Raw genomic sequence first — 13,243 nt, 5'->3', positions numbered from 1 at the left:
TAGATGATAATCATTTTGCATTTAAAAAATGTGGTAGAAACGTTCCACCAATAAAATAATGGGTTACCAATGTGTGATGAAAATTGCTGCATCACTGTCCAATATGTGACACTTGAAATAGAGAAGAAATATTCTCAGCATGTGCATTGTCAAAAAGAAAGGACCTCATCATTTCCTTTCTTAGAAATTTGTATATTAGCAACCAGTTATGATAATGAAAAAATATTATATTTGAAGTTGCTGTGGTTACCTATTCATATAATCATACAAATAGAATGTGCTGTCTTTTGCTCCAGAACCTCACCATTGCTGTTTTGACATTGCAAAGAGTTGCTTCTAGGTTATCCTGGATCCTGTCCAATAGACATTAAAAAGGTACCAACAGGGCTTCAATGGTTGTAACTATAAATCAGGTGTAGGGTAAACATCACTTCACTGAAATTGCAACTAGCATAAGACATACATATGTGCATTTACATGAAAATGTATTGTGTGTCTATAAATATTTGGGGTGAAAATGCTGATTGTTTGATATTCACATTTTATATTACAAGTCGATTATGTGGCGATGAGGTACTATTTGACTTATAAGCACTATGCCAGCAAACTTCACATTCTGCACTTTGAATTTCAACTAAGGTGAAAAACTGAGTTCCTAAAATTTTTCTAAAGATGCTAAGATAAGTCAAGGAGTTATGCTAACTTCTCGAGTTGGATACATTGCAATTGGAATGAGCACATTCACTTAGAATATTAAAAAGTTTCCAAATGCTTTAGTTATTTATCCCTTACATAATGTTTTGATGTTTAAAAATGAGTTTGTTACCTTTCACCTCTGAGATGGGGATGGGAGCAAGTGTTGACACTGTAGTTTGCAAAACCCTTTGGGATCTTTCAGTGTGTGCGTGGTGCTAAGTGAACTATTAATATGACTTAACATTTAGTGTGTGCCAAGTGTGCTGTGAGGCACATGCCAAAACAAATCATATTATCATTTTAACTAAAATCCTCCTGTGTTTCTTTTTTTAAACAGTCTTTCTGGTTGTCCAATTGCTGCAGCTGAAAAATTGGCAATGTCCCAGGATAAAAATCAGCTTGATTCTCCCCAAACTGGGCAGTGTCCTGACCAGGCCCACAGGTATGAACCCCTAACGATGTTCTCAGTGCTCTCTTCATCCAGGCTCCTGCACAGCGGGGCCTCTGGTCCTTCATGAGTCAGTTCTCTGTGGCTTGACCTCCCCTCTCAGCCCCAGTAGACCTGGGTGTGCAGCCCACTCCACTAGACCAGAGGCTGGTCTAGTTAATGACATCGTTGCTGAAATGAACTACTAAACTCTCCAGAAGTTTAACTTGAAAGTCATCTCTTTGCAAAGGTAACATAATAGGGGTGAATCTAAAAGAATTAATATACCATAGCCTACATTAATCAGAATTGTGGGTTACTAAGTATACCCACAAGTCAGATGAGCACTCCTTCATCACCTTTCTGCCTGGAGAAAATGCCATCAGAAGTCACTCCTGCCTTTCCTAAATATGTACTGTTATATATTCATCCTTCAGTTCCACAAACACATATAATGTATTTAAAACAAAAATTCATTCCATGATTGACAGCTATTAATAAAGTATCTCCTATTGGTCCTGGTAGCTCCCAGCCTCTTGGTGATATCTAGAAATTTGGAAGATTTTATATCTAAATACTAAAGTATATATGATGATATTTAATGTAAAGTTATATGTTTATTGCCATAAAATCATTTTTGTAGGGAAAATGATTTCAGGATTAAGCTAGATGATCAGATAACTATTGTTACTGAGTCACTGAAATATAAAACCAGTTATTAGACATTTCAACGTTTTCAAGATACGGCTTCCCTTAATATTTTGCTTCTATAGATTTGATGAAGAGTCAAAATTGGCATTTAAATCACATGCGTGAAGAACATATGTCAAGTGAAAATTATGAATTACTGAATAAGTAGCAATTAAAAGTCTTAAAGTAAGATTCTTGGTTGGTATGACTGTACACTCTAGTTTCTCCCCAAGTAAGTTAGTTAGCAAATATAGAAAGAATATTGAATTTCATTTTGCTCATTTCTTAAAAGATTAATATTGTTTTAGATTAGAATATATATGCAGATTTAAGGCTCTAAACCAAGTTATAAAGGCAATAAGATCAACTAGTTGCTCAGATATTTTTATATAGCAGCTAAAAAGTTTTTGTAAAATCTAATCCAAAAAAAACTCATTGGAAACTTTGGCATTCTGATGAGTTTGACAGTTTTTGGTGGAAAAAAGAGAAAAATATATTTTTTAATATTGTTAAATTTTGAAAGGTATATTTGTTTATGTTCTCTTACCATTACACCACAGCAGAAAATCATTTGTGTTTTATTTGGCTGGAATCAGTGCTACACAAATCTGATGCCCTTGTTTAATCCAAATAACAACCATTCTAAAAGAATATATAATTCACATTTAGCTTAGATTGTGATAATTATGTTGAAAATGTGATAGATATTATAATACAGTAATTTTGATTCATATTGAGATGATGGCAATTCAATCGATAAAATATTGAAGTGCCATTTAAAGTATTACTTAAATCAGCAAAAACATTCTGACTGAAGGCAGGGAAAAAAGGTGAAAAGCCCAGGAAGAAACTCCCAATTCAGGAATCAAATCTCTGGTGTCTGTACTGCCCCTCTTAGGCATCAGATTTCTGCCAGCTCTGCAGGACTGAGCAGAGCCTAGCATCACTTCTGAACAGAATATAATGACACTTGCTCACTGGTCACAATTGTGACTATTCATTGCCAATCTAATGAACAATTCTAACAAGCAGAATGTGCACACCTTGTCAGCACCTTAACCAGTATTTACTGATGGTAACATGGCTTTTTTGTTTTTTTTGAGATGGAGTCTTGCTCTGTCTCCCAGGCTGGAATGCAGTGACATGATCTCAGTTCACTGCAACCTCCGCCTCTTAGGTTCAAGTGATTCTCCTGCCTCAGCCTCCTGAGTAGCTGGGATTACAGATGTGTGCCACCACACCTGGCTAATTTTGGTATTTTTAGTAGAGACAGGGGTTTCACCATGTTGGCCAGGCTGGTCTCGAACTCCTGAGCTCAGATGATCCACCCACCTTGGCCTCCCAAACGGCTGGGATTATAGGCGTAAGCCACCGCACCCACCTGACATGGATTTCCTTTAAGAACTTTAAAAACTCAAAATGCTAATAAGCATCAAATATCTGCTCATGATATCTTCATAAGATGAATGGAGGATTGCATATTCTTAATTTGCTGATGGGAGGACTAGGACCCAGAGTACGCAGCATCATGTAGTGATGTAGAGCCCAGAGCATCTTTCCATCTCGCCCTATGGGTCCGGAGCATGCTGCTCTGTCCTGCCATGGCCCCGTCTCTCTTATTGTTCAGTGTCTCTGTGGATACCTTCAGGAGTGACACATGTATCTACTGTAAATTCTGACACTAATGTGCTCACCAGTAGTTTCATTGTATTTCTTTTGAACTGCTTCACCCCCCTCTCCAGGACAAGTTTGGTGAAGCAAATTGAATTCAATTTCCCGTCACAAGCCATCACCTCTCCCAGAGCCACAGTGTCAAAAGAACAAGAGAAGTTTGGAAAAGTACCATTTGATTATGCCAGTTTTGATGCCCAAGTTTTCGGTAAACGCCCTCTCATACAAACAGTGCAAGGACGAAAAACACCACCATTTCCTGAATGTAAGCTTTGAGCTCTAATGCCGTTTCCCCAAAATGCTTCTTGTGTATGGGTGTATGTGTGTACTGGGGGCCAGGGGGCTGTACTTAAATATATGATATACTACATACAGCTGGCAGGAGAGAAAATATATTCAAGTGAAATACCATAAAGAAAACGATAATAAGTTGATCAATGTTATTGATTTTATGCTGAAGTTACACATAATATAGTGAATAGTTAATGAATTAATTATTCTACAAATATGATGCTATTGTTGAATCTAAGTACAATAATTCTAAAGAAATATTTAACTCACAGTTAGCTGGAGCTTGGATTACTATATTGAAAAATGTGATGACTGTTGTAATGCAGTAATATTTATTTGTATTGAAATTATGGAAATCTAATAGGTAAAATGTTGAAATGCTGTTTAAAATATTATTTAACTCAGCAAAAGCATTCAAACTAAAGGTGGAAGGGAAGGTGAGAAGTCTAAGAAACAATTTGAAAGTCAGGATTTTACTATAATAGAAAAAATTGTGTGGCTGTGGAAATCTTTACTCCCAAACTGAAGCATGAATATGGAAACACTTAAAATACATTAATATTCTTTAATGCTAACACATCCATATAGAAGACCATAACTCAAATATGGTATAGTGTATGAAACCTGGTGTTTTTTCTTCTTACACATTTCTTCAGGTTGTTGGGGTCCTTAAACATTCTAATGAAAAGGTGTGAAAGTAAATATTGGGAACCAATAGAGGTCATGATTTCTTCATTATGGTCACTTAACTTCCACAAAGGAAAGAGCTAAATAATGTGCACATTGAGTTCTCCTAGACAATGAATTTTTTACAACATTCTGCATAGCCATAGAATCCCTTTGAACTTGCACCAGGCTATGGAAACTGAGTGGTCTTAAGAGCACAGAATGTTTACCTCATTATGTGATGCTGATGAATTCTTTCAGAGAACTAGAATTTCGTGTAAAACCCAGTAGTAAACAGACTTGAAAGGAATTTGCCTATCAGGGAGAGGTACATTACATTCTAAAAGATATTTTACCTAATCTTACCAAAAATAGCTTCCAACTAACATAAATAACCACTAACAACCTGTTAGATTTAAGGGAAAAGTTGTACACACACAGTTTTATATCTATCTATCCATGCAATTTTGTGTGTGCCTATACAGATATACAATTTTATTATATATACACACAATATACGTACATACATATATGTTTAATTCCAGCGAAGCTAGTTAATAAGAGCATTCAATGTACTCATATAGTACGGACATTGATTTTTAAAAGTGCAAAACATTCAGTGACATTTTCATATTCTTGTAATTATAGAAATATAACATTTGCCAGTGTTTTAAGTTTTGTTTTATGAAAAGAATCAAATATTTAAAATAAAAAAATTTAATATAAAATAAAAAGCTAAATGCTTTTATATTAGCTCACATTAAATCTTGAGTGTTTCTCCTGTAACCTGGAGTGATGTTTACAAATACTCAAGAATGAAGAGAAATATGTTTAATTCTATCTCTCAGTAATGCCTTGGTACCCACAACAGAAACATAAAATGGAAACTCAGCCTTGATAACTAAATTGCCTTTCTGTTCACCTTGAGAACATTTCCTGCCTGCCCTTTATTTATCTCTCTCTCCCTAAATATGCCAAAATGCCAGCTCATTAAAGACTCCACCATCTATTTAGTTCCATCTAGTTGGATGAAGAACAACTTCTACTGGTTTAAGGACAAAACAAGCCTGCATATCAAATAATAAAAATACAATTCCATGTCTAAGTAGAAATTGTTATTGTGAAAACAAATATTGAAAGGACACATTTTTTTTTCCGCCACTGGAATCACCGGTCCTCACATATATGCAGTTTTCCAATGGGCATGCCTTAAACTCTCTGTAGTCCCTGGGAGGTTTTGCTAGTGTGTTTTTTTATCTACAATTTTTGCCACAAATGTTGCCAGTGCACCTGCCCCATAACATTAGTTATGGAGTTTTTGTCATAAGAAGCGTAAATACAAAAATATTAAGAGAATAGGTATTCTCTCCCAGCAATTATGTCATTTGTTCTGTGAATCTCTGTGAAAACCGGTCTGGATAACCTTCATTTAATGTTCCCATGGATAATGGAACGTGTTTTAATTTATTCTTCACATATTTTAATGCAAGAAGTTACATTTTTAAAAAAAACAAATCTGTTTAATGACTAAAACCATGTACATGCAATTGCTAATCAAATCTCTCTTCAACAGCAAAGCATTTTCCAAATCCAGTGAAATTTCCTAATCGACTGCCTAGTGCAGGCGCCCACACCCAGAGCCCTGGCCGTGCCAGCTCTTATAGCTACGGTCAATGTAGTGAAGACACCCACATAGCAGCAGCTGCTGCCATCCTGAACCTTTCCACCCGCTGCAGGGAAGCCACAGACATCCTCTCCAACAAGCCACAGAGTCTGCATGCCAAGGTAGGCCAGTCCAAGAGCCCGGAGGGTGGGCCAGCGACTGAACTGTGAGAATAAACTGCCTTTCATGTTCCTAACTACATTCACTACCACTCTGCTCCCCAACCTCTGAAGCGATCCCCTCCCTGTCTCAGGAAGAGGCTCAGAGGAACGCAGGCAGGGATGAGCTTGGTGGGGTCAAAGAAGGATGAAAGTGTGCACATCCTGCTCTGTGGCTCCTCTTGAAGTTGGGGTACCAAAGTTTGGGGAGAAGTGAGTTACAGAGATGGGTTGGGGAGAATTTACACATTTCAAAGCTGTTTTTGCTATGGGGAATTTGGCACACAAGAAAAGAGGATTGCTATTAAAATAAATCTCAACAATGGAAGCTTTTCAGTGTCTGCAAATCAAAGAAGGTAAGAAATGTGTGATCAAATGGTGACTTGTGAAACATTTGCAAAATTGACCCATGAAATTTTATCATTGCATTTGTTACTATTGTGTAACATAAGATAGTCTAAGTTGCCACAGTATTCTCCAGAGACACATGGTAGAACATGAATACATTAAATCAACAGGAGATGATTCAGGGAGGGTTGAGACCTCAGGGCATTCAAATACAAAATCACATTCTGTGAAGTTTTAAAAACACCACACTTCTGAAGCCCATGAAATTAATCACATTTCTCCAATACCCTCTCCTTTCCTCCCCAATTGACAATAAGAAGTAATTTTATGAAAACCAAAAAACAAAGATCCTTCATGCCCTTTGACAGCAAAGGGCTTCTGATGCCACAGTCACAGCGATCCACAGAGCTTGTAAAAGTGGCTCAGCCATTTGCACCTGCTGTCAGCTGGAGCAGGAACTCCTATTTACAGAAAGTGCTTCAGTTCAAAGAAATGATTTCCCTACCTAGATGGCTGAAGCCACTGAAATAAGTTGCCTAGACTTACTTGAGAATAAATGTTACCCTGCTTTATGTGGAAGATTTTCTGCATCAAATGCTAACCCTGAAACCTGGGCACTTGAAGACCATGGCTCCTCTTTTCCCCTTTAAGTGTGCCGGTCCCCGGCATGGTCAGCTGCTGCCTGTGCTGTGCCAGGCCTTCAGGAGAGCAGGTAACACGGTGCCACTGAGCATTTGACAGAAGAATCAGAATTAGCTTCTGGACAAAGCTGAGCCAAGTAAACCCCAGGAAGAGTTGGTGGCCAAAAACCACTCAAAAACAATTTTTAAACAAATGAGGTTCTTAAACAAAGAGAAATACATCCTCTAAAAATAAAAAATACATGCATATGTATACCAGGCGATCCAAATTCAAAAGATTCCTAGTCACAAATTATTTACATAGGTGATTTAGGGAATTTTTAAATGCAACTTTATTTTTAAATTCATTTTTTTAATCTGAATAAATTCCTTCTTTTAAAAGGTATCTATTCTAGTAGCCATCTGCTTGGAGAAATACTAAAATCGCTTCCTTCTTAGTGCCTTATCATTTGGTTATTCAGGCTGTCCTATGAGAATACAGGAACCAATATTATAATTATTGGTGTTACTGAAATGACTACGGTAAGTGGTTCTAGAATGAATGCTGTCCATCTGTGCCTGTAGATGTGTTCCTGTTCCTCAGAATTCTGCCTCTCACCTTCAGATTCTCCATCTTCTATGACAATGACACCAAGCAACATATCAAACAAAGATGACTAAAATTACAGGGCTTTTCCCCTTATCAATATGTGTTCTATTTTAAAAACATATTTTTGGTTAGAAAAGCAATTGTTAAATGGACACGTTTCAAAAAATCAAACAGTAGATTTTCAGTGTTGTGTTCTTGGGCTCCTGGCGGGAGCACTCTGTGCCAGACTGCTCCACGGAGCTCATCCTGCATGCCCAGGTGACAGGAGCTCGCCGCACGCCTCAGCCTTTCAGTGCCAACCAAGTCTTAACCGCAGAAGCCAAACAATTGATGTGGTGACGAGGGTGGAAGAGACAGAGAGCACACAGATTGACTTCCCAAAGGAGTTTGTTATGCTGGGAGTTCTAAAAACCATTTTCCCATGAAAATTGTCTCCTTTGCATAGTAGTTGCTAAAATGGGAGAAACATCGTGCCCTAGATTGTCACTTTGTGCAGAATCCTTCTGCCAGTGCATGCACACACACACACATGCACACACGCACGTGCACACATTTGCACACAACTGTAACAATGTCTAGAATTCTGTCCTGGTTGGACCTTATTTTCTTAATGTTGAAGAGAATCTCATTTATTCCTGAATTAACAAGATAATTATTTTAGCAAAAGTGAGAGAAAGCCAAGGTAATTCACCCTGAAACTGAGCCTCTGATGAAACCATGTCTGATGTAGGCCTTTTCTGTTATCAGTGCTGCCTTTTACTTAATGTAGGATTAAGCAGAGACAGACTTCACCTCCACATTGAATGCTAGCCTGATTATCTCTCTGCTATTATTTGATTCTTCCACCATGGCAGGCTATTAGTACGCTTATTTCTCATAGCTCAAATCCAAGGATCTCTTGAGTTTCATGTGTAGAAATAAGCGTCTTGAAATGTACAGCTTCTCCTTACTCCAAACTTTCACAGCTGAGCACTTTTGGTATATTAGCAAGACATCCTGGTGATGGACTCATAGCTGAACCAACCAAAGGTCTCTAAGTGCTGGACTGCCCCGGCCACAGGTTAGGGTCAGTCATAGACTTTGCCCTTGAGGAGCTTACCAACAAAGCAAGAGAAAAGAAGTGACCCTCTGGGAGCTGTCCCTGCCTTGCATGGCTCTGGGTAAAGAGCTAAGCTTGAAGAGGTGAGCTTCCTTTCATCCAGGGCAGGCATGGTGGCTTTGCAGGGAATTTGACCAGAACTTGGGTGAGGGCTGATTTCTCAATTCTCCTCTGCTTGCATCCAGTTCTTTCCTTTACACAATGAGCATCTCTCATTTGCATAAAGCACCCCATAGGAGTATGAATTACAGATCTTACTGTCACCCATGGGCACAATCTTTTTGACATCAAGCCAAAGAACACTAACTTTGAAATTGCCTTCATGCCCATATATTGGGGCTAATACATGTTAACTGGCTGTATGCAATCTCACAACAGACTCCAAGCTTAATGGGCAATCTGAATTGGTGCTTTGTAAAATTGCAAATGATCTTGTAGAAGATCATAGGAGCAGAGGTTGTTTTCAGAGGGGCAAAAAAACTTTGATTTCCTACACACTCTAAAAATATAACGAAGGATGATATGGACATTCCAAAATGCTATCCTCCTTGCAAAGTCTCTTGGCCTCCAAAACTGGAAGACGTCACTGATCCACCCCTTCCCAACACAGAAGGCTCATGCTGCTGTTCACATGGTCATCCATTCACTCAACCAGCATCCCTCAAGTGCCGGCTCCCATCACACCCCAGCCTGAAGGCACCAGTGCTTGTGACATTGCCAATCACTGCCCAAACCAGAGCCCATTATGTCCCAGAGGCAGAAGATTTTCAAAGGAATTATTTATTTGTTAAAATACAATCCAACATATATATAACATATTTGTACCACCAATATTGCCTACATATGTTTTAAGTATCTCTTTGAGGAATTAAATCAGGGAAAAACAATTAACACTATCAGTGCTTAGTGGATGACATAATGGTTAAAGGTAAATTTGTCTGAAGTATTAGCTTTATTTATTTAATTTAATTTTTTTTTTTTTTGAGACAGAGTCTCACTCTGTCACCCAGGCTGGAGTGCATTGGTGTTATCTTCACTCACTGCAACCTCTGCTTTCTGGGTTCAAGTGATTCTCCTGCCTCAGCCTCCCAAGCAGCTGGGACTACCGGCGTGCGCCAGCACACCCGGCTAATTTTTGTATTTTTAGTAGAGACAGGGTTTCACCATGTTGGCCAGGCTGGTCTCGATCTCCTGACCTCAGGTGATCCGCCCGTCTCGGCCTCCCAAAGTGCTGGGATTACAGGTGTGAGCCACAATACCAGCTTTATTTTGATTCTAAAACTTTTTTTTCTTTTTTTTTTTTTTCTGAGAGGATCTGCTCTGTCACCTAGGCTGGAGTGCAGTGATGTGATCATAGCTCATTGCAGCCTTCAACTCCTGGGCTCATGTGAGATTCTCCTGCCTCAGCCTCCCAAAATTCTAGGATTACAGGCATGAACCACTGTACTCGGCCTGATTCTAGAACTTGGTTGTAAGATGCATATAATGTCCTTCATTTTAATTTGGAATTAATATGATTTGGAAGACACAAAGGGGCCACAGCTCCAAAGAGCTCCCCTTTGGTCTTGCCACGGGGCCACAGGTGGGAGAGAGTCCTGGGTCTGCTGGGCCTCCTGAGCATCTTCCTCCGGTACAGGCCCCAGGCAGATGCACTCCCGTTTTCTTCCCTCCTCCCACCCTGATCACCAGAGGTAGGAACAGGCCTTGCAGTCTATCTTTATCCTCATCGCTGCTGCTTGCCAGGCATTCTGTTGTTTGTTTTGGTGTTTTCCCCACCTGTTTAGACAAAATGGCATATGCAGAGTGTGCCTTAAAAGAAAACAAAAAATTGACACTTGCTTGAAATGTTTAAAGTTCAAAGTCTGTTTTGTGCTTGAACAAGGCCTAGAAATAACATGATGTGGCACCGCCATTCTTGCCGCCTGGTATCAGGAAGTCTGGCGGCCCTCTGGGCGGTGAGAACCCTGATGCCGCCTTTTCTGGTAACTTTAAGAGCAGGGCAGATTTGCCACACATTCTGAGTGAAATGTTATGACGGTCTTGGGTCAGGGATCACAAGGCACTGGTTGATACAGGTGCAAGGAAACAGCTATTTAATAATTGGCTTTTTAGCCCTGTGCACAGTAACCTAAGAACATGTCTCTTTTCGTATTCAAAAACCTAGTCCAATCCCCTGAATCTAAAGTAGAAGTTGGAAAAACAAACTCAGTCAAATTATTATGATTATCAGCTGTCATTTATGGAAGACGTATTATGTGCCAGGTACTATAAGCAAGCATGTGGCTCACATTAATCCCTTTTAATCCCTCTAGAATTTCTGTAAAGCAGATATTATTATCCCATTTTGCAGATAAAGAAACAGTAGTACAGAGATACTAAATTACTTTCTCTGAGTGGCACAACTATAACTGTTGAAACAGAAATTTGAACTCATGCCTGTCTAACTTCTCTTCTTAAGATCTTAGAGTAGCTAAGCTGCTGGCCAAGCAGCGTGGACCATGATTCCAAGTCCCAAAGATCTTGGGGAAGCTGTTTTAAATTTCACTTAAATTTTATACCTTACATTAGTTATTTCTCCTCTGATCATTTCTCCTCTATTTATTTTGAGTATATTTCACAAATTTATAATCTAAACAGCTTTAATAATTACCGTTTAGTAAGAGTAAGATATTTTCATTTCATCTGTTTACTGTTAATACCCTGCCTACTTTGAAAACATATTTAACATAGCTTTCAGTATGGAAAAGATACTCCCAAAACAAAAACCTTGAAGCAAGAATAAAAAACATCAGCTGCTAGATGAAAGCCAGGGGCTAATTATGGCAGAAACCTAATCAGAAGGACACTTAGTTTTGCACTTCCTCTCAGCCAAGTCAACAGGGAAAAAATGGCAGGTGACCCATCCTGTATTCATAAGACAGCTTGCCAAGTCAGGAAAACAGTGCTTTCTTGTTTTATCAATGTTTGGAAAATTAATAATTTTCACAAGATAACATTTAAGTTAAAATTCCAATTTTATTTTTACTTCATCACAAACTTTGAATGTGTGACCACTTAAAATTGCTAAAACAATATAATGTTGTCATTTGCCTGAAAAATAATGGAAGAAAATAGCCACAAGCCTACCTTCTACATACAAGGATCTACAATCACTTTTGTGTTTTCCTTTTTGTTCTTTTTCAGAAAACACATTTCTCTCTTTTTTCCCTAGTTGTAAACATAGTAGGAATGCCACATTGTTCTCTGCTGTCAGTGATACAAGTATTTTCCATGTAGAAACAGTGTTCATAATTATCACTTTCCTGACCACATAATGTGCCATTAAATAGGGGTGGCATATTTTCATTAAGTATTTCTCTGTTGGCGGCCATCTAGGTCACTTCTTATTTTATAGTAAAGGTAAGGATTACAATGAGTAATTAGTTCAACCTTCAGTTTAATTATAATTTACATTAAATTTATAAAATTACCTTCACTAAAAATCTATATGCATAAAAAAGAAATTTGTTGAAGGCAGAAACAACCTGTTTTCCAATTTTACTTTCCCTAGAATATAGTGTCTTAAAAATATGAAGTACTTTCTCAATAACTTAATGAATAAATAAAATGTAGGTAGCATCAGGTAGCTCAAAAGTGGCTGAAATCGATGGCCTGGGATGTCCCCTCTAAGTCGGAAAGAACATGAATAGTAGTAATCCTATACCTACCCCCAAGAGAACTTTACATTGAAATACTTAAACTAAAGATCCAGAATAGCACTTGAAGAAATCAGAATATTAGAAGATTGAGGGGGTGGGGGATGCATATCTGCCACAGCTTCCCCAGCCCCTCCCTCCTTTTTGTGCTGCCATTTGGAGTTTCAAGCACAGAGAGAAGTGATGCCCATTGATACTGCTCTGAATAAAAGCCCATGCTGTAAACGTGTGATCGCCTATCTATGGGCAGAAAGGGACCCTTCTCTGGTACTGCATGTAATTGTTGAAGGCATCTGTGCGCTCACTTAAGGCCCATCTGTACCCTGCTCCCCAGTGAGCCGCCCGCTCTCTCCCAGTGAAGTCAGGTGCTCAGAGCAGCAGGCTGGGCGCAGGATGCAGGAAAGCGCCTCTTTTAAACATTAGGAGTAATTGACTCGAAATGTATAATCGTAACAACTCCTAGAATCTATCATTGTCTTAATGGACTATTTAGAATTTTTGCCTGTAAAAACTAAAATATATATTAGTCTTGTCTTGGAAGAGTTGATATTTTTCAGAGAAATCGAATCTGCACTATTTATGGGTTTTGCACTATAAAACTCTGCAGCC

At 38.6% G+C, this 13,243-nt stretch overlaps 1 protein-coding gene across 61 annotated transcripts in view; it reads left to right on the top strand.

Annotated features, from left to right (window-relative positions):
* The window catches only part of ST18 (ST18 C2H2C-type zinc finger transcription factor), a 299,042-nt gene that overhangs the window by 244,756 nt on the left and 41,043 nt on the right, over positions 1–13,243 (top strand). For all 61 annotated transcript variants that reach the window (NM_001352871.2, NM_001352836.2, NM_001352872.2 and 58 more), the window contains 3 exons: positions 1,034–1,138; positions 3,556–3,749; positions 6,015–6,226. In NM_001352871.2, coding sequence (NP_001339800.1) covers positions 1,034–1,138; positions 3,556–3,749; positions 6,015–6,226 — 511 coding nt within the window. The remainder of the gene's footprint in view (positions 1–1,033; positions 1,139–3,555; positions 3,750–6,014; positions 6,227–13,243) is intronic.

Source organism: Homo sapiens, chromosome 8 (genome assembly GCF_000001405.40).
Source record: "Homo sapiens chromosome 8, GRCh38.p14 Primary Assembly".
NCBI classification, from domain to species: Eukaryota; Metazoa; Chordata; class Mammalia; order Primates; family Hominidae; genus Homo; species Homo sapiens.
Note: the sequence above shows the minus strand (reverse complement) of the source record. Positions and strands in the feature narration are given on the sequence as shown.